At 46.2% G+C, this 20,460-nt stretch overlaps 1 protein-coding gene and 2 pseudogenes across 2 annotated transcripts in view, besides 4 other annotated features; 1 reads left to right on the top strand and 2 right to left on the bottom strand.

The window, feature by feature from the left end:
- The window catches only part of MSTO1 (misato mitochondrial distribution and morphology regulator 1), a 51,722-nt gene that overhangs the window by 6,079 nt on the left and 25,183 nt on the right, over positions 1–20,460 (bottom strand). The window contains exons 3-4 of one of the 2 annotated variants that reach the window (XM_047424007.1): positions 20,302–20,385; positions 9,974–10,066 (exon numbers count right to left, since the gene is read on the bottom strand). The gene's annotated coding sequence lies outside the window, so the exon portion shown is untranslated. The remainder of the gene's footprint in view (positions 1–9,973; positions 10,067–20,301; positions 20,386–20,460) is intronic. The other variant, XM_047424008.1, reaches the window with a different exon arrangement.
- Positions 6,692–10,076, bottom strand: DAP3P1 (death associated protein 3 pseudogene 1; annotated as a pseudogene).
- Positions 8,077–8,730: an enhancer, noted in NCBI's record as "NANOG-H3K27ac-H3K4me1 hESC enhancer chr1:155569950-155570603 (GRCh37/hg19 assembly coordinates)". NCBI's record gives its function as "activates a minimal SCP1, AML or CMV promoter by ChIP-STARR-seq in primed H9 embryonic stem cells {active_cell/tissue: H9 hESC(primed)}" and the evidence as "EXISTENCE:reporter gene assay evidence [ECO:0000049][PMID:30033119]".
- Positions 8,731–9,383: an enhancer, noted in NCBI's record as "NANOG-H3K27ac hESC enhancer chr1:155569297-155569949 (GRCh37/hg19 assembly coordinates)". NCBI's record gives its function as "activates a minimal SCP1, AML or CMV promoter by ChIP-STARR-seq in naive and primed H9 embryonic stem cells {active_cell/tissue: H9 hESC(naive and primed)}" and the evidence as "EXISTENCE:reporter gene assay evidence [ECO:0000049][PMID:30033119]".
- Positions 9,617–9,911: a silencer, noted in NCBI's record as "tiled region #723; K562 Repressive DNase unmatched - State 5:Enh". NCBI's record gives its function as "represses a minimal TATA promoter and a strong SV40 promoter by Sharpr-MPRA in K562 cells {active_cell/tissue: K562}" and the evidence as "EXISTENCE:reporter gene assay evidence [ECO:0000049][PMID:27701403]".
- Positions 17,460–18,039: an enhancer, noted in NCBI's record as "H3K4me1 hESC enhancer chr1:155560641-155561220 (GRCh37/hg19 assembly coordinates)". NCBI's record gives its function as "activates a minimal SCP1, AML or CMV promoter by ChIP-STARR-seq in naive H9 embryonic stem cells {active_cell/tissue: H9 hESC(naive)}" and the evidence as "EXISTENCE:reporter gene assay evidence [ECO:0000049][PMID:30033119]".
- LOC284620 (claudin 6 pseudogene) lies at positions 17,571–18,485 on the top strand (annotated as a pseudogene).

The raw sequence follows: 20,460 nt of genomic DNA, 5'->3' as shown, positions 1-20,460 counted from the left end.
CACGCCACTGCACTCCAGCCTGGGAAACAAGAGCAAAACTCCTCTCTAAAAAATAAAAAATAAAAAAATAAAAATAAAAATAAAAAAGGCCGGGCGCCGCGGTTCAAGCCTGTAATCCCAGCACTTTGGGAGGCCGAGGCGGGTGGATCACGAGGTCAGGAGATCGAGACCATCCTGGCTAACACGGTGAAACCCCGTCTCTACTAAAAATACTAACAATTAGCCGGGCGTGGTGACGGGCGCGACCTGTAGTCCCAGCTACTTGGGAGGCGGAGGCAGGACAATGGCGTGAACCCGGGAGGCGGAGCTTGCGGTGAGCCGAGATCGCGCCACTGCACTCCACCTTGGGCAACAGAGCCAGACTCCATCTCAAAAAAAAAAAAAAAAAAAAAGAGATAAGGCAAATATTGGTTGGGCGCAGAGGCTCACGCCTGTATTCCCACGTTTTGGTGAGGCTGAGGCAGGAAGATCGCTTGAGTCCAGAAATTCGAGAATGTGAGGGTAGACTGGACAATGTAGTGAGACTCCCCCTCCCCCTATCCTCTCTATAAAAGAATTTTTCAAAAAATTAGCTAGGCAGCCCACATCTGTAGTCCTAACCAGAGGCTAGGGTGAGAGGATCGCTTCAGCGCAGGAATTAGAGGCTGCGGTGAACCATGATTGGAGCACTGCACTGCAGCCAGAGACAGAGGGAGACCCTGTCTCAAAATTTTAAAAAGTGACAAAATGTTAATTGAATCTAGGTGAAGATTATAGGTGTTCTTTTGCAGTACTCTCTGAGCATTCTTGTAGGTTTGAAATTTTTTCAAGAAATAAAGGTTAGATGCTCTTATCTCTTCTGAGCTCTTTGTATTTTCACATGTATTATATTTAGTTTTGTTTATTTATTTTGAGACTGTCTCACTCTCTTTGCCCTGGCTGGAGTGCAGTGGTGCAATCTCCCGGCTCACTGAAGCTTCAACCTCTTGGGCTGAAGCGATCCTCCCACCTCAGCCTCCCAAGTAGCTGCAATTACAGGCATAGGCCACTGCACCCGGCTAATTTTTGTATTTTTTGTACAGAAGGGGTTTCACCATCTTGCCCAGGCTGGTCTCCTGAGCTCAAGCGATCTGCCCACTTCGGCCTCCCAAAATATTGGGATTACAGGCGTGAGCCAATATGCCCGGCTACTATTTCACTTTTCTAAGTATGATGTGGGCTGAAAAGTTTCTATAGATACTCTGACAGTTTAAGGAAGTTCTCTGTCCTGATTTGCTAAGAGTTTTGATCATGAATAGATTTGAATGTTTTTTACAGCTTTCTCCAAACCAAGATAATTACATTATTTTATCCTTCCTTTGTTGTGCTAATGAATAAATTACATCGTTAGATTATCATGTAATACTATCTTGCATTCCTCAAATAAACCTAAACTCGGCTAGGCGCGGTGGCTCAGACCTGTAATACTAGCACTTTGGGAGGCCGAGGCAGGCGGATCACAAGGTCAGGAGTTCGAGACCATCCTGGCCAACATAGTGAAAACCCTGTCTCTACTAAAAATACAAAAATTATCTGGGCGTGGTGGCACGTGCCTGTAATCCCAGCTACTTGAGAGGCTGAGGCAGGAGAATCTCTTGAACCAGGGAGTCGGAGGTTGCAGTGAGCCAAGATCGCGCCATAGCACTCCAGCCTGGTGACAGAGAAAGACTCCAACTCAAACAAACAAACAAAAAACCTAAATTCATTTATGTTGATTATCCTTTTAAAATATTGGATCTGGCTGGGTGTGGTGGCTCACACCTGTAATCCCAGCACTTTGGGAGGCCAAGGCGGGCGGATCACGAGGTCAGAAGTTCGAGACCAGCCTGGCAAACATGGTGAAACCCCATCTCTACTAAAAACACAAAATTAGCAGGACGAGGTGGCGCGTGCCTGTAATCTCAACTACTCAGGAGTCTGAGGCAGGATAATTGCTTGAACCCGACAGGCAAAGGTTGCAGTGAGCCAAGATGGGGCCACTGCACTCCAGCCTGTGCGACAGATGGAGACTCTGTCTCAAAAAATAAATAAATATAAAATATTGGATCTGGGCCGGCTGCAGTGGCTCATGCCTGTAATCCCAGCACTTTGGAAGGCTGAGGCAGGTGGATCACTTGAGCCCAGGAGGTCAAAACAAGCCTGGGTAACATAGTGAGATCTTGTTGCTACAAAAAAAAAGGCTGGGTACGATGGCTCACACCTGTAATCCCAGCACTTTGGGAGGCTGAGGCAGGCGATCACCTGAGGTCAGGATTTGAGAACAACCTGGCCAACATGGTGAAACCCCATCTCTATTAAAAATACAAAAATTAGCTGGCAGTGGTGGCACGCGCCTGTGGTCCCAGCTCCTCGGGAGGCTGGGGCAGAAGAATCTCTTGAACCTGGGAGGCGGAGGTTGCAGTGAGCCAAGATCATGTCATTGCGCTCCAGCCTGGGAGACAGAGTGAGACTCCGTCTGAAAAGAAAAAGAAAGAAGAAGAAGAAAAAATAGAAAAAAAAAAGTTGTATCTTGGCCAGGCACAGTGGTTCTCACCTGTAATCCCCAGCATTTTGGGAGGCTGAGGCAGGCGGATCACTTAAGGCCAGGAGTTCGAGACCAGCCTGGCCAACATGGCGAGACCCCGTCTTTACTAAAAATACAAAAAAAAAAAAAAAAAAAAAAAAAAAAAAAAGGCTGGGCATGGTGGCCAGTGCCTGTAGTCCCAGCTACTCGGGAGGCTGAGGCAGGAGAATTGCTTAAACCCAGGAGGTGGAGGTTGCACTGAACTGAGATTATGCTACTGCAGTGCAACCTGGGTGATAGAGCAAGACTCTGTCAAAAAAAAGAAAAAAAAAGTTGGATCTACTTACTGATATTTTGTTTTGCATCCATATGTGTGAATGGGATTGGCTAATTTTCCTTTTCTTTAATGTTCTTGTCAGCATTTGATATTAGCATAACAGTGGCCTCAAAAACAAGTTGGGAAGTATTTTCCCTTTTCTATTTTCCACAAGAATTTATATGAGATTGGCATCATTTCTTTAAATGTTTGCTGGAGTTTACAGGCCAAGTTATATAGACCTAGAGTTGGTTATTTCTTTGTTTTTGTTTTTAAGACATTATCTGATTGTCAGCCAGGCTGGAGGGAGTGCAATGGCTGGATCAGAGCTCACTGCAGTTTGAACCCCTTAATTCAATCGATCCTCACACTTCAGCCTCCGGAGTAGCTGTGACTACATGATTTTAAACCTTTTTTGTAGAGAGGAGGTCTATGTTGCTCAAGCTGGTCACGAACTCCAGGACTCAAGCCATCCTCCCACTCTGAAAGTTCTGGGATGACAGGAGTGAACCATGCCCTGCCTGCAGTGTTTGCAGAAAAGTTTTCACCTATGAATTATTCAAGTTCTGTATTAGTATAGGAGTATTTAAAGTTTATTTTTTTGTGTCAATATTGGTAAGCCATATTTTTTTGGAAATTTGTCCATTTCATCTACAAATTCAGAGCTATTACTACCAAGTTGTTTATGGTGAACTCATTTAAACTGTTTCATGTCTGCAGGATCTGTGGTGATGTGCTTTTTTATTTTCAATATTGTTTTTGTTTTGTTTTGTTTTGTTTTGTTTTGTTTTGTGATGGAGTCTTGCTCTATTGCTTAGGCTGGAGTGCAGTGGCACAATCTCAGCTCACTGCAACCTCCACATCCCAGGTTCAAGTGACTCTCTTGCCTCAGCCTCCCGAGTAGCTGGGATTACAGGTGCCCACCACCATGCCTGGCTAATTTTTGTATATTCAGTAGAGATGGGGTTTCGCCATTTTGGCCCTGCTGGTTTTGAACTCCTGACCTCAGGTGATCCGCCTGCCTCAGCCTCCCAAAGTGCTGGGATTACAGGCGTGAGCCACCGCACCCAGCCCAATATTGTCTGTTTTAAAGGCAAAAAATTATCTGTTTTGTGTCAATAGTAAATCAGTTTTTATCAATTTTAATATTTTTAAATATTTAATTTTATCATTTTTTGAGATAGGATCTCACTTTGTCACTCAAGCCGGAGTGCAGTGGCACAAACATGGCTCAGTGCAACTTCGACCTCTTGGGCTCAAGCCATCCTCCCACCTCAGCCCCCCAAGTAGCTGGGACTACAGGCGTGCACCATCACACCCAGCTAATTTTGCATTTTTTGTAGAGATGAGGTTTCACCATGTTGCCCAGACGGGCTTTGAAGTCCTGGGCTCAAGCAATCCTCCTGCCTCGGCCTCCCAAAGTGCTGGGATTACAGGCCTGAGCCACCGTGCCCTGCCAGCCAGTATTTTCAACGTACAAAATTTTTGTTTAAGTTTTGTGTTTAGTAATTTCACAATCATTTAATTTGAATTACTTTCTCATTTCCATTCTGATCTTTTTTCCTGACCAATGGGCACATCAGAAAAGTATGTTTTAATTTCCAGACACGTGAGGAGTTTCTACTTCTCTTTTTGTTACTGGTTTCTAGTTTAAATTGCGTTAGAATCAGAGTACACGGCTGTATGATTTAAATTCTTTGAAATATATTGAGCTGGTTTATGGTCCATTGTCAGTCAGTTTTGAACAGGTTCTTTATGTGCTTGAAAAGAAAGTACATTCAGAAGTTTTGGGATTTGATAGGTGGAAGGTGAGGCCAGAAAGGCAGGTCCACTCCGTATAACTTCTATTGAAAAAGATCTGTGAATAAGTGGACCCATGCAGTCCAAAAACGTTGTTGCTCAGGGGTCAAATATAATGACCTGATGTATTTTCTACTTTGTAGAACAAGTGCTTATTAAATTAATAATATGTTTATTAAAGCATTATTTCATAATCTTCCATCTTTCTAGAGGCTTGGTGATATCCAAGTTCAGCTTTAGGCAACTAAAGTTGCTCTCTTTTCTCTCTGTCTTCCTGGGTTAAAAAGGATGACTGTATTTAGACTGTCAAAAATAAAATATATTATGTGAATGTAAAAGAACTTCTACCAAAAAAAAAGTTGTTGTTTTGAGATTTAATTTTTTTTTTCTTTTGGAGACAGAGTCTCGCTCTGTCACCCAGACTGGAGTACAGTGGCGTGATCTCAGCTCACTGCAACCTCTGCCTCCCAGGTTCAAGCGATTCTCCTGCCTCAGCCTCCCTAGTAGCTGGGATTACAGGTGCCTGCCACCGTGCCCAGCTAGTTTTTGTATTTTTAGTAGAGATGTGGTTTCACCATGTTGTCCAGGCTGGTCTTGAACTCCTGACCTCTGGTGATCCACCTGCCTTGGCCTCCCAAAGTGCTGGGATTACAGACGTGAGCCACTGTGCCAGGTCTGGGACTTCATCTTTAAAAATAATTCCATTAGGAGAAGTGTGTTAATCGTGCTATTCAATCTTTATGTTCTTACCAATTCTTTTATCTCTTTTACCAATTACTGAAGTATATTAATTCTGTAACCATGATATTCTATTTCTTTTTGTAATTTTTGTTTTCTTTTATTTTCTTTTGTTTTTTGAGACAGAGTCTCATTGATGCCCAGGATGGAGTGAAGTGGTGTGATCTCAGCTCACTGCAACCTCCACCTCTCAGGTTCAAGTGATTCTCCTGCCTCAGCCCCCTGAGTAGCTGGGATTACATGCATGGGGCCACTCAAGTAGCTGGGATTACAGGTGCACGCCACCACGCCCAGCTAATTTTTGTATTTTTAGTAGAGATGGGGTTTCACCATGTTGGCCAGGCTGGTCTCAAAGTCCTGACCTCAAGTGATCTGCCCAACTCAGCCTCCCAAAGTGCTGGGATTACAGGCATGAGCCCCTGTGCCTGACCAAAGTGAATGCTTTCTAATCCATTTCTGCTTGGAGCCTTGAAAAAACATACATAAGGGATTCTGATGAAAATGTCCAGAATGAGACTCTGGCATCTGCATTTTTAACAAGCTCTTAGGTGACTCTGCTTTATATCCAGAGTTGAAGGCCCCTGGTCTAGACAGGGTATCCAAGAATCACCAGGGTAAAGAAGAATTTTTCCAATACATTTCTGGTTCCCTAAAAAGATATTGTCTGGAGAAAATCATGTAGTTGGAAATGTGCTTGCGAGGGATTGGAGGCTGTACCTTGAAAAGTCAATGAATCAACTGGATTTCACTTTGCTACCCACAAAATGGGAACAACTTACTGTTGCCTATTTATTTCACATGGATAAATGAGTTTCAAGTTATGAGTCCACTGTGAGCAAAACGTATGAAAGAAATTAAAAATGATACAGTTATTCCAACTCCAGTATCAGTTCTCCATAGTCTGTTGGTACCCAGGGCACAAGGAGGACAGAATCCATATAAAGACTACCTAGCACTCAAATTCTGGGAGTCTTGTCACCTGGCTCAGGAAGCACTCATTTGTTGTTTGTTGTTGTTGCTGCTGTTGTTGTTGTTTTGAGATGGAGTTTCGCTCTTGTCGCCCAGGCTGGAGTGCAATGGCAAGATCTCCGCTCACCGCAACCTCTGCCTCCTGGGTTCAAGCGATTCTCCTGCCTCAGCCTCCCAAGTAGCTGGGATTACAGGCATGTGCCACCACACTTGGCTAATTTTGTATTTTTAGTAGAGACAGGGTTTCTCCATGTTGGTCGCTGGTTTCGAACTTCCGACCTCAAGTGATTCACCCTCCTCGGTCTCCTAAAGTGCTGTGATTACAGGTGTGAGCCACAAAGCCCGGCCAGGAAGTGCTCATTTGTAGTTTTGAAATTCTTCAGCTAGGTTGAAACCTCTAAAGGTTGATCAAAGCGCTGTTTGTTGTAGTTGGACTGCAGAACATCCCGGCAATTTTTCACCCAAAGATGAGCTTAAAAAAAGGCAGAAGAGGCCGGGCGCGGCGGCTCATACCTGTAATCCCAGCACTTTGGGAGGCTGAGGTGGGCGGATCACGAGGTCAGGAGATCGAGACCATCCTGGCTAACACAGTGAAACCCCGTCTCTACTAAATATACAAAAAATTAGCTGGGCATAGTGGCAGGCGCCTGTAGTCCCAGCTACTTGGGAGGCTGAGGCTGGAGAATGGTGTGAACCCGGGAGGCGGAGCTTGCAGTGAACCGAGATTGCGCCACTGCACTCCAGCCTGGGTGACAGAGTGAGACTCCGTCTCAAAAAATAATAATAATAAAATAAATAAATAAAAGGCAGAAGAAAACCAGGCAGAAACTGTATTGAACTGGAAATATTCCAGCCTCTTTAAGTTATGGGAAATGACTTTAGTTTCCAATATATATTTCTTTTCTTTTTTTTATTTTTTGAGACAGTGTCTTGCTCTGTTGCCCAGGCTAGAAGGCAGTGGTGAGATCACAGCTAACTGTAACCTTGAACTTCTAGGCTCAGGCGATCCTCCTGCCTCAGCCTCTCAAATTGCTGGTGAACCACTGTGCCTGGCCTTGTCAGGTCCATCTTAGACTAAACATTATCTTTAGAATCAATATATAAATCAGGCCAGGTACAGTGGCTTACACCTGTAATCCTAGCACTTTGGGAGCTCAAGTCGGGCGGATCACTTGAGGTCAGGAGTTCAAAATCAGCCTGGCCAACATGGTGAAACCCCGTCTCTACTAAAAATACAAAAAAAAATAGCCGGGCGTGGTGGCAGGTGCCTGTAATCCCAGCTACTCAGGAGGCTAAGGCAGGAGAATCACTTGAACCTGGGAGGCGGAGGTTGCAATGAGCCGAGATTACACCACTGCACTGCAGCCTGGGCAACAGAGTGAGACTCCATTTCAAAAGAAAAAAAAAGGAATAAATATACAAGCAAGGCTGGGTGCGGTGGCTCAAGCCTATAATCCCAGCACTTTGGGAGGCCGAGGTGGGCGATCACCTGAGGTCAGGAGCTTGAGACCAGCCAGACCAACATGGTGAAACTCCATCTCTATTTAAAAAAAAAAAAAAAAAAAAAAAGGCCTAGCACAGTGGCTCACACCTGTAATCCCAGCACTTTGGGAGGCCAAGGCGGTCGCATCACGAGATCAGGAGATCGAGACCATACTGGCTAACGCAGTGAAACCCCGTCTCTACTAAAAATACAAAAAATTAGCCGGGCGTGGTGGCAGGTGACTTTAGTCCCAGCTACTTGGGAGGCTGAGGCAGGAGAATGGCATGAACCTGGGAGGCGGAGCTTGCCAACATGGCAAAACCCTGTCTATACTAAAAATACAGAAATTAGCCAGATGTGGTGGTGCATGCCTGTAATCCCAGCTACTGGGGAGGCTAAGGCAGGAGAATCGCTTGAACCCGGGGGATGCAGGTTGCAGTGAGCCGAGATCGTGCCACTGCACTCCAGTCTGGGCGACAGAGCAAGACTCCATCTCAAAAAAAAAGAAAGAAAAAATATGGATGCACACAATATTTAACAAAAAAGGGACATATGCTGTGGGGAAAAGCAAGAGAGATCAGATTGTTACTGTGTCTGTATAGAAAGAAGTAGACATAGGAGACTCCATTTTGTTCTGTACTAAGAAAAATTCTTCTGCCTTGAGATTCTGTTAATCTATGACCTTACCCCCAACCCTGTGCTCTCTGAAACATGTGCTGAGTCAACTCAGGGTTAAATGAATTAAGGGCTGTGCAAGATGTGCTTTGTTAAACAGATGCTTGAAGGCAGCATGCTCGTTAAGAGTCATCACCACTCCCTAATCTCAAGTACCCAGAGACACAAAACACTGCGGAAGCCCGCAGGGACCTCTGCCTAGGAAAGCCAGGTATTGTCCAAGGTTTCTCCCCATGTGATAGTCTGAAATATGGCCTCGTGGGAAGGGAAAGACCTGACCGTTCCCCAGCCCGACACCCGTAAAGGGTCTGTGCTGAGAAGGATTAGTATAAGAGGAAGGCATGCCTCTTGCAGTTGAGACAAGAGGAAGGCATCTGTCTCCTCCCCGTCCCTGGGCAATGGAATGTCTCGGTATAAAACCCGATTGTACATTCCATCTACTGAGATAGGGAAAAACCGCCTTAGGGCTGGAGGTGGGACATGCGGGCAGCAATACTGCTTTGTAAAGCATTGAGATGTTTATGTGTATGCATATCTAAAAGCACAGCACTTAATCCTTTACCTTGTCTATGATGCAAAGACCTTTGTTCACGTGTTTGTCTGTTGACCCTCTCCCCACTATTGTCTTGTGACCCTGACACATCCCCCTCTCGGAGAAACACCCACGAATGATCAATAAATACTAAGGGAACTCAGAGGCTGGCGGGATCCTCCATATGCTGAACGCTGGTTCCCCTGGTCCCCTTATTTCTTTCTCCATACTTTGTCTCTGTGTCTTTTTCTTTTCCAAGTCTCTCATTCCACCTTACGAGAAACACCCACAGGTGTGGAGGGGCAACCCACCCCTTCATATGCAAAGTGTAATATCCCTTAAGTTTTGACAACCTATACTGATGACTCTAGAATGCTGATAAATAGTAAAAGGCTCTGTGGGTACTCAGAATTGTTAACCGATGGCAAAAAATAAAAAACAAAAAAAACCCCGTGGTGACCTCTAAGGCAGGAGTTTATGCTCATGGGTATTAAATATCAAAAGAAGGACTGCTTAGCATCAAAAGGCTTCAGGAAGCTTTTAGCCCAATTTCCTTTCATCACATTGACTTCACCTTGTAACCTGCTTGGCAGTAATATCACGAAGAAATCATGATGGATGAGCTCAGACTGCTCTACATCTGGAGTAAAGGCTTTTCTTTTTTTTTTTTCTTTTCTGAGACAGCGTCTTGTTTTGTCGCCCAGGCTAGAGTGCAGTGGTGCGATCACGGCTCACTGCAGCCTCCTCCTGGGCTTAAGCTCAGGCAATCCGCCTGCCTCGGCTTTCCAAAGTGCTGGGATTACAGGCATGAGCCATCGTGACTGGCAAAGGCTTTTCCTTTAGCTATCAGATCCCCGTTAGAAAATTAAAGCTACAAGACTACCACGGTAACAAGATAACTGAACCTAACAGAGAGAAGACAAGACAGGAAGTTCTTACCATCTGGAATACGTAGTATCAGCCAGTCCTGTTTTGCACAGAAATGAATAACATGGCAAAGACCGAGTGTTTTTCCGGTTCCCTTCTCTCCATCTAAAATATATGTTGTTAAAGAAAACGTGACTACAAGGTGACTAGAAAGGTCACTTGTACTGTCAACAGTACTTATGTTTTTTTTGTTGTTCTTGCTGTTTGAGACTGGGTCTCGCTCTGTTCTCCAGGCTGGAAAGCAGTGACGTGATCTTGGCTCACTGCAACCTCTACCTTCTGGGTTCAAGGGATGCTCCTGCCTCAGCCTCCCAAGTAGCTGTGATTACAGGTGTGTACCACCACGCCTGGCTAATTTTTGTATTTTTAGTAGAGACAGAGTTTCACTATGTTGACCAGGCTCATCTTGAACTCTTGGCCAAAAGTGGTTTGCCTGCCTTGGCCTCCCAAAGTGCTGGGATTACAAGTGAGCTACTGCACCTGGCCAGTGTTTATATTTTTTAAAGAAATCCTGGCCGGGTGCGGTGGCTCACACCTGTAATTCTAGCACTTTGTGAGGCCGAGGCAGGTGGATCACCTGAAGTCAGAAGTTCGAGAACAGCCTGACCAACATGGAGAAACCCTGTCTCTACTAAAAATACAAATTAGCTGGCCGTGGTGGCACATGCCTGTAATCCCAGCTACTTTGGAGGCTGAGGCGGGAGAATTGCTTGAACCAGGGAGGCAGAGGTTGTGGTGAGCTGAGATGCGTCATTGCACTCCAGCCTGTGCAACAAGGGTGAAATTCCATCTAAAAAAAAAAGAAATTCTGGCCGGGTGTAGTGGCACACGCCTGTAATCCCAGTGCTTTGGGAGGCTGAGATGGGCAGATCATCTGAGGTCAGGAGTTTGAGACCAGCCTGGGCAACATGGTGAAACCCTGTTTCTACTAAAAATACAAAAAATTAGCTGGGCGTGGTGGCGCGTGCCTGTAATCCCAGATACTGGGGAGACTGAGGCAGGAGAATCGCTCGAACCCAGGAGGCAGAGGCTGCAGTGAGCCGAGATCGCGCCACGGCACTCCAGCCTGGGCAGCAGACTGAAACTCCATCTCAAAAAAAAAAAAGACAAAAAGTAGTGGCTGGGTGCTGTGGCTCACGCCTGTAATCCCAGCACTTTGGGAGACCAAGGCGGGTGGATCACCTGGGGTCAGGAGTTCGAGACCAGCCTGACCAACATGGTGAAACCCCCTCCCTACTAAAAATACAAAAATTAGCCAGGCGTGGTGGCGCATATCTGTAATCCCAGCTACTCAGGCGGCTGAGACGGGAGAATCGCTTGAACCCGGGAGGCGGAGGTTGCAGTGAGCCGAAATCACACCACTGCACTCCAGCCTGGGCAACAGAGTGAGACTTCTTCTAAAAAAAAAAAAAGTTTGCAATTACCTGTCAAATCCTACATCAATCCAATTGTTTTGTTAGGATTTAGTTTCCCTCTTGTTGCCCAGGCTGGAGTGTAATGGCGTGATCTCAGCTCACTGCAACTCGGCCTCCCAGGTTCAAGTGATTCTCCTGCCTCAGCCTCCCGAGTAGCTGGGACTACAGGCGCCCGCCACTATGCCCTACTAATTTTTTGTGTTTTTAATAGAGACGGGGTTTTACCATGTTGACCAGGCTGGTCTCCAACTCCTGACCTCAGGTGATCCGCCTGCGTTGGCCTCCCAAAATCCTGCAATTACAGGCGTCAGCCACCATGCACAACCTTGTCTTCTCATCTGTGACCAAGACTTTGAAAAGTGGATAAGGTCTGGTATTCACTCATGTCTTTGTCTTTTGTATTTTTGAGGCAGGGTCTTGCTCAGTTGCCCAGGCTGGAGTGCGGTAGTGCAATCACCGCTCACTGAGGCCTTGGCTTCCCAGGCTCATAAGATCCTCCAACCTCAGCCTCACAAGTAGCTGGGACCACAGGTGTGCACCACCACACCTGTCTAATTTTTTGACTTTTTTTGGATAGAGATGAGGTTTTGCTATGTTGCCCAGGTTGGTCTTGAACTCCTGAGCTCAAGGGATCCTCCCACTTTGGCCTCTCAAAGTGTTGGGATTGCAGGCATGAGCCACCACAACTGGACCATTCATCTCTTAAAGCTGGAAAAGATATCTCCCATTGTTTTGAGACAGCCTGCTGTCCAGGCTGGAGTGCAGTGGCCCAATCTCAGCTGACTGTAGCCTTGACTTCCTGGGCTCAAGTGATCCTTACAGCTAAACCTCTTGAGTAGCTTGGACTACAGGCACATACCACTGTGCACTGCTAATTAAAAATTTTTTTGTGTGGAGTTGGGGACTCTCTATGTTGCCCAGGCTAGTCTTGAACTCTTGGGCTCAAGTGATCCTCCCACCTCGGGATCCCAAAGTGCTGGGATTACAGGCATAAGCTACTGTGCCCAGCCTCATTTTTTATCTTAGCCAAGAATGCTGGTTGCTGTCCCCAAACCCAGTATGTATATAAAGGTGGCCTAAATGATGATGCCAATTGTTCATCAAAGTAAACCGTAGATGTAGGGGTAGCAGAGACAATTCTTGCCATCTGGATTATTCTGTGCTGTGTATAGAGATGCTCCAGTCATGTGACAAGATCATCTGCATGCTGCTGTTTCCATAGAAACCCCAGAGGAATTGGCAGATAAAAGGACTGCAATTACAGAGAAAGCTGAAAGACACTTCAGTGGCTTGATTCGTTTATTCTACTTCATTTTGTGTTTGTGAAAATAGGTGAAAGCTAGAGATATATTTAAAACACACCCTGCTGAGATCATGTTTTGGGTAATGGGTGATTATTTTTTTCTTTCCACACAGACTATATTAAGATGGGAAGACTCAGAGGGTAGGGGCAGGGAAAGAAAGCTATTGGTTCCTCACATTACAGCACAGACCACAAATTAATTTCATTTACGAGAGGCAGCAACAAAAAGAAATTAATATCCAGTCTAATAGGGAACTGGACTAGAAAATGCAACACTAGATACTGCTGGAATCCTGGCTTCTGCAGACAAAATTCACTTTAAATGCTGCTCTTCTCATAACAAATCAAGTTAGTTCCCTCTCCAGACCCTAGGAAATCCACTTACAAAACTGCAAAATAGCACCAGATTGGTTATTAGAAAAATTGGATTCTGGGCCAAGTGTGGTGGTCCATGCCTGTAATCCCAGTACTTTGGGAGGCCAAGATCGGGAGATCGAGACCATCCTGGCCAACATGGTGAAACTGTGTCTCTATTAAAAATATAAAATATAAAAATTAGCTGGATGTGGTGGTGTGTGCCTGTAATCCCAGCTACTTGGGAGGCTGAAGCACGAGAATTGCTTGAACCCAGGAGGTGGAGGTTGCAGTGAGCAGAGATCACAGCACTGCACTCCAGCCTAACAACAGAGTAAGACTCCATCTCAAAAAAAAAAAAAAAGAAAAAGAAATTGAGGCCGGGCGCGGTGGCTCACGCCTGTAATCCCAGCACTTTGGGAGGCCGAGGCACGCAGATCACGAGGTCAGGAGATCGAGACAATCCTGGCTAGCGCAGTGAAACTCCGTCTCCACTAAAAATACAAAAAAATTAACCAGGCATGGTGGTGGGCACCTGTAGTCCCAGTTGCTCGGGAGGCTGAGGTGGGAGAATGGAGTGAACCCGGCAGGCAGAGCTTGCAGTGAGCCGAGATTGCGCCACTGCACTCCAGCCTGGGTGACAGACCGAGACTCCATCTCAAAAAAAAAAAAAAAAAAACAACAAACCTGAAGCAGGAAAGCGTTTTTTTTTTTTTTTTAGACAGAATCTCGCTCTGTCGCCCAGGCTGTAATGTAGTGGCATGATCTTGGCTCACTGCACCCTCTGCCTCCTGGGTTCAAGCAATTCTCATGCCTCAGCCTCCCAAGTAGCTGGTATTACAGGCATGCACCACCACATCTGGCTAATTTTTTATATTTTTAGTAGGGACGGGGTTTCGCCATGTTGGCCAGGCTGGTCACGAACTCCTGATGTCAAGTCATCTGCCCACCCTGACCTCCCAAAGTGCTTGGATTACAGGCATGAGCCACCCACGCCTAGCCTTTAATTAGCATCTTTATCTCTAAATCTTTGATGTTTCATCTTTCATAGTCTTTCAGCTTACCAAATAATAGGTTTAACATTCAGCTAATCAAAAAACTTGGGAGCCAGGTGTGGTGGTCCACTCCTGTAGTCCCAGCTACTTGGGAGCAAAAGTGGAAGGAGTGCTTGAGGTCAGGAGTTTGAGATCAGGATGGGCAATGCAGTGAGACCCCATTAAAAAAAAAAGAGAGAGAGAAACACGGCTTAGGTGGTTCCAGAATGATGTCAAAATAAGTCTCAAATTCCTCAGCATGACAAGGCCACTGTGATGACTTCAATTCAAGTTTCTAGTTTCATTTATAGCCATAGGACCATGCTAAAACATGTCATTTTACTGCTTCGATACTTCTGCTCATTCTACTTCAACTTCCCTCTCTCTCCATTTATTTACTTATTTATTTACTTAATTTTCTTTTTGAGAGTCTCACTCTGTCACCCAGGCTGGAGTACAGTGGCATGATCTCTGCTCACTGCAACCTCCCTCTCCCAGGTTCTAGTGATTTTCGTGCCTCAACCTCCAAGTAGCTGGGATTACAGGCGCCTGCCACCACGCCTGGCTAATTTTTGTATTTTTAGTAGAGACGGGGTTTCATCATGTTGGCCAGGCTGGTGTCGAACTCTTAGCTTCATGTGATCCACCCGCCTCGGTCTCCCAAAGTACTGAGATTACAGGTGTGAGCCACCGCACCTGGCCCTCTGTCCCCATTTAAATCTTACCCATTCATCAAGTCTCAACTCAAATGTCACATCCTCAGTGAAAATTTGCCAGACACCTCCAGTCAAAAGTAATTCTCTTTCCTTACTGCTAATAGCACTCTTTACATTGCATGGCATTTTTTTTTTTTTAGACGGAGTCTCGCTCTGTTGCCCAGGCTGGAGTGCAGTGGCATGATCTCGGCTCACTGCAAGCTCCGCCTCCCGGGTTCATGCCATTCTCCTGCCTCAGCCTCCCGAGTAGCTGGGACTACAGGCGCCTGCCACCACACCCGGCTAGTTTTTTTGTATTTTTAGTAGAGACAGGGTTTCACTGTGTTAGCCAGGATGGTCTCGATCTCCTGACCTCGTGATCTGACCACCTCAGCCTCCCAAAGTGCTGGGATTATGGGCGTGAGCCACCGCACCCGGCCCGAATGGCAATTTTATTACACTGCCTTGTGTTGTACTCATGCCTACTGTTAACTGAGTATCTATTAGATGTTAGGCAATACAGTATTGTACATGCACTAGTTTTAAACCTAGAAATCCTAGCAGATAGGCAGAATATTATCAACCCTGTGTTATGATGGGGAAGACAAGGTTCAGGGAAGTTGAGTAATTTTGATTAAGGTCACAGAGTTAGTAGATGGTGAACCAGAATTCACATCCAAGTTTGTCTCACTTTAAAATATCTATTTTTTAGAATTGTATCATGTTACGTTACACATGTTTGTCTTCTTGGCTACATGCTTGGAAGAGAAGGAATCAGATTTCATTCATTTTCGTATCTCCTTCTCTGAGTACTTAACACACTATAAGTACTTAGTCTTTTGCCCTCGAATAAAGAATCTGCCATTGAAGACATGCAGTGAAGGAGTATGTAAAGCATCCACTAAGAACAGTAGGCCAGGTGCGGTGGCTCACGCCTGTAATCCCAGCACTTTGGGATGCCAAGGTGGGCAGATCACCTAAGGTCAGGAGTTTGAGACCAGCTTGGCCTAAATGGTGAAACTCTGTCTCTACTAAAAATACAAAAAAATTAGCCAGGTGTGGTGTTGCACGCCTATAATCCCAGCTATTGGGGAGCCTGAGGCAGAAGAATTGCTTGAACCTGGGAGGTGGAGGTTGCAGTGAGCCAAGATCGTGCCATTGCACTCCAGCCTGGGAGACAGAGCAAGACTCCATCTCAAAAAAAAAAGAAAGTAAACTGCTCTGTAGGAAATTTAGGTATACACAGAAACCTCTGAACCATTTAATATAAAGTAACTGTAAGCTGGGCACAGTGGCTCGCTCCCAGCACTTTGGGAGCCCAAGGCGGGTGGATCACTTGAGGTCAGGAGTTCGAGACCAGCCTGGACAACTTGGGGAAACGCTGTCTCTACTAAAAGTACAAAAATTAGCCGGGGCATGGTGGCAGGCGCCTGTAATCCCAGCTACTCAGGTGTCTGAGGCACAAGAATCACTTGAACCCGGGAGCCACAGGTTGGAGTGAGCCGAGATTGTGCCACCGCACTCCAGCCTGGGAAACAGAGTGAAGCCCCATCTCAAAAAAAAAAAAGTAACTGTCAAGTACTAGAGTTACTCCAGCTTTGTCTGAGAATGTATAACTGTAAATTACAGCAGAAGCAGCAATGCTTGGGAAATATCCAAATATCCAAATCATTCTCTACACTTCTCACCCTCCCTTGCAGAAACAGGAGGAGTCATGTGATTCCTTTGGCTAAACACCTATGAATGGAAATAACTTGTGTTATTGTGTCCTTTCTAATCAGAGCCAATTAAGTGTGAGGTATAAATTATCTCTCCCTCCCCACCTTAAAAGCTACATGTTGCGATGTATCCCAAGAAGGTAAACTTTTGTCCCTCCATCCAGACTTCAATCTTGCTTGCAAAGCCGTTTTGAAAGACAGGAACAGCAAAAACAAAGCAAAACACATGCACACAACACAAACAATATCCTTTGTGTTAGGCCACTGAGAATACAAGGCTTGTTACTTCAGCATAGCAATCTGAATAACACACACTAGTACTACTTAAACGCTACTCAATTTTATCTACCGGAGAGAAAGCACCATGCCTCTTTACAAAGCAGAGTGGAAAACAAACTATTCAAGGGCCACAAGGTGGTGCTATTTCTACAGTAATGTGATGAAATTTTTGTTATACTTTTTTTTTGACATAGGGTGGGGTCTTGCTATATTGCCCCGGACAGTCTCAAATTCCTGGGCCCGCATGATCCTCCTGCCTCAGCCTCCCAAGTAGCTGAAACTACAGGTACTTTTTGAAGCAAATTAGAAGCTAGCAAAATGGAATCTTTTTTTTTTTTTGAGACGGAGTTTCGCTCTTGTTGCCCAGGCTGGAGTGCAATGGTGTGATCTTGGCTCACTGCAACCTCTGCCTCCCGGGTTCAAGCGATTCTCCTGCCTCAGCCTCCCGAGTAGCTGGGATTACAGGCATGCGCCACCACGCCTGGCTAATTTTGTATTTTTAGTAGTGACGGGGTTTCTCCATGTTGGTCAGGCTGGTCTTGAACTCCCAACCTCAGGTGATCGCCTGCCTCGGCCTCCCAAAGTGCTGGGATTACAGGTGTAAGCCACCACACCTGGCCTACAGCAAAATGAAATCTTTAGTTCTTAAAGTTTTATATATGATATCACTTAAGTAGACTGTTGTTTCCAAAGAAAACAACCATCTGTACTATTGCCTCTGTACAGTTCCAGAATGAACATCCTGCAGTTTCTGAAACAGCATTTGTGGGCCAATCTAGAAGATCACCGTGATGGTTAATATTAAGTGTCGACTTGGCCTAGGAATTTCGCATATCTCCTTCGCAGTGCAGCTCCTTCAATCTCACCATGGCCTCTGCCAGAATGCAGATCCTGGGAGTCGTCCTGACACTGCTGGGCTGGGTGAATGGCCTGGTCTCCTGCGTCCTGCCCATGTGGAAAGTGACCACTTTCATCGGCAACAGCATCGTGGTGGCCAGGTGGTGTGGGAGGGCCTGTGGATGTCCTGAGTGGTGCAGAGCACTAGCCAGATGCAGTGCAAGGTGTACGACTCACTGCTGGCGCTGCCACAGGACCTGCAGGCTGCACGTGCCGTCTGTGTCATCACCCTCCTTGTGGCCCTGTTCGGCTTGCTGGTCTACCTTGCTGGGGCCAAGTGTACCACCTGTGTGGAGGAGAAGGATTCCAAGGCCCGCCTGGTGCTCACCTCTGGGATTGTCTTTGTCACCTCAGGGGTCCTGACACTAATCCCCGTTTGCTGGACGGCGCATGCCATCATCTGGGACTTCTATAACCCCCTGGTGGCTGAGGCCCAAAAGTGGGAGCTGGGGGCCTCCCTCTACTTGGGCTGGGCGGCCTCAGGCCTTTTGTTGCTGGGTGGCAGGCTGCTGTGCTGCACTTGCCCCTCCGGGGGGTCACGGGGCCCCAGCCATTACATGGCCCGCTACTGGACATCTGCCCCTGCCATCTCTCGGGGGACCTCTGAGTACCCTACCAAGAATTACGTCTGACATGGAAGTGAATGGGGGCTCCGCTGGCACTAGAGCCATCCAGAAGTGGCAGTGCCCAACAGCTTTGGGATGGGTTCATATCTTTTGTTTCTGCCTCCTTCTATTTTTCTTTTGACTGAGGGTATTTAAAATTCATTTAAAAACTGAACCAAGAAGATGACTCAGACTCCCACTTAGGTTCTGCTGTTTCTCACCCTTGGATGATGGAGCCAAAGAGGGGATGCTTTGAGATTCTGGATCTTGACATGCCCATTTTAGAAGCCAGTCAAGCTGTGGAACTAATGTGGAGGCTGCTTGCTGTGCTGGCCTTTGCAACAAGACAGACTGTCCCCAAGAGTTCCTGCTGCTGCTGGGGGCTGGGTTTCCCTAGATGTCGCTGGACAGCTGCCCCCCATCGTACTCAGGCCTCTGGAGCTCCTCTCTTCACCCATGGAAAAGCAAGTGATCTGTTAACAAAGGACTGCCTACCTCCGGAACTTCTGACCTCTGGCTCCTCCGTCCTGGATGTCCACCTTGCAGGGTCAGGTCCCAGCTATGTAGACCCCCGCCCCCACCTCCAACACTGCACCCTTCTGTCCTGCCCGCCCCGCCTCACCCCCTTTACACTCACATTTTTACCAAATAAAGCATGTTTTGTTAGTGAAAAAAAAAAAAATTAAGTGTCAACTTGATTGGATTAAAGGCTGTAAAGTATTGTTCCTGGGTGTGTCTGTGAGGGTGTTGCCAAAGGAGATTAACATTTGAGTCAGTGGACTGGGAGACGCAGACCCACCCTCAGTGTGGGTGGACACCATCTAATCACCTGCCAGGGCAGCTAGAATAAAGCAGGCAGAAGAAGGTAGGATGAGCCGACTTGCTGGGTCTTCCAGCCTTCATCTTTCTCCTGAGCTAGATGCTTCCCGCCCTCGAACACTGGACTCCAAGTTCTTCAGCTTTTGGACCCTTGGACTTACAACAGTGATTTGCCAGGGGCTCTCAGGCCTTTAGCCACAGACTGAAGGCTGCACTGTCAGCTTCCCTACTTTTGAAGTTTTGGGACTTGGACTGGCTTACTTGCTCCTCAGCTTGCTCACGGCCTACTGTGGGACTTCGCCAGATGGTGTGACTCAATACTCCTTAACAAACTCTCCTTCATATATACTTCTATCCTATTAGTGCTATCCCTGTAGAGAACCCTGACTAATACAGTCACCCTGAACCAAACTAATAAAAAAAAAAACACCAAAACTTTCTCTTACCAACAGCAGTCTGGCCTCAGGTCTTTCTCATCTGTTATTAAGAAAGAGTAAATTTTTTTTTTTTTGAGATGGAGTCTCGCTCTATTGCCCAGGCTAGAGTGCAGTGGCATGATCTCGGCTCACTGCAACCTCCACCTCTTGGGTTCAAGCGATTCTCTTACCTCAGCCTCCCGAGTAGCTGGGATTACAGGTGTGTGCCACCACACGCAGCTAATTTTTGTATTTTTAGTAGAGACGGGGTTTCACTATGTTGGCCAGGCTGGTCTCAAACTCCCGACCTCAGGTGATCTGTCCGCCTTGGCCTCCCAAAGTGCTGGGATTACAGGCATGAGCTACCGTGCCCGGCCGAGAGGAAATTTATTTTAGCCTTGTAATATGATCAGTTGAGTCCAGAATCCATCCCTCTGCTGATCCTTGCTTTCGTTTCATTTTATAATAATGGGTTATTTTATGTATTAATATATAGGCCTGAGGGAAGGGGGCACATGCAGGGAGAGCCATATAGGAGGAAGGGCTCCTTTTCTAGGAAATCTAATCTGTAATTAAATAATCAGCTGAAAATGACCAAGTCTTTCTGGCTCAGTTCTGAGCCTTTCAGGATCTCCTGCTGACTCGACTAATCCCGCTCAGGTGCTCCTCTTTGGTGCTGTAAGAGCACCATACTGAAATAGTCATTTTTTCATGATTCTACTGGACTGTAAGCTTCTGGAGAACATGGACCATAAAATGCAATAGAGCACAGTGTTTAGGCCACAGGCTTTGAAGTCAGACAGACCTGGCATCTCGTGCGGGCTTTGCAACCTCACAGGCTATTTCCTCAGGTAAGTTACCTAGCCAGTCTCATCTTTAGTTTCTCCATCTGTGAAACAAGGATATTATCTCGTTCATGAGTTGATCATGAGGATTAAAAAAATAAAGCACTTAGTGTAGTACC

Source organism: Homo sapiens, chromosome 1 (assembly GCF_000001405.40).
Source record: "Homo sapiens chromosome 1, GRCh38.p14 Primary Assembly".
Classification (NCBI taxonomy): domain Eukaryota; kingdom Metazoa; phylum Chordata; class Mammalia; order Primates; family Hominidae; genus Homo; species Homo sapiens.
Note: the sequence above shows the minus strand (reverse complement) of the source record. Positions and strands in the feature narration are given on the sequence as shown.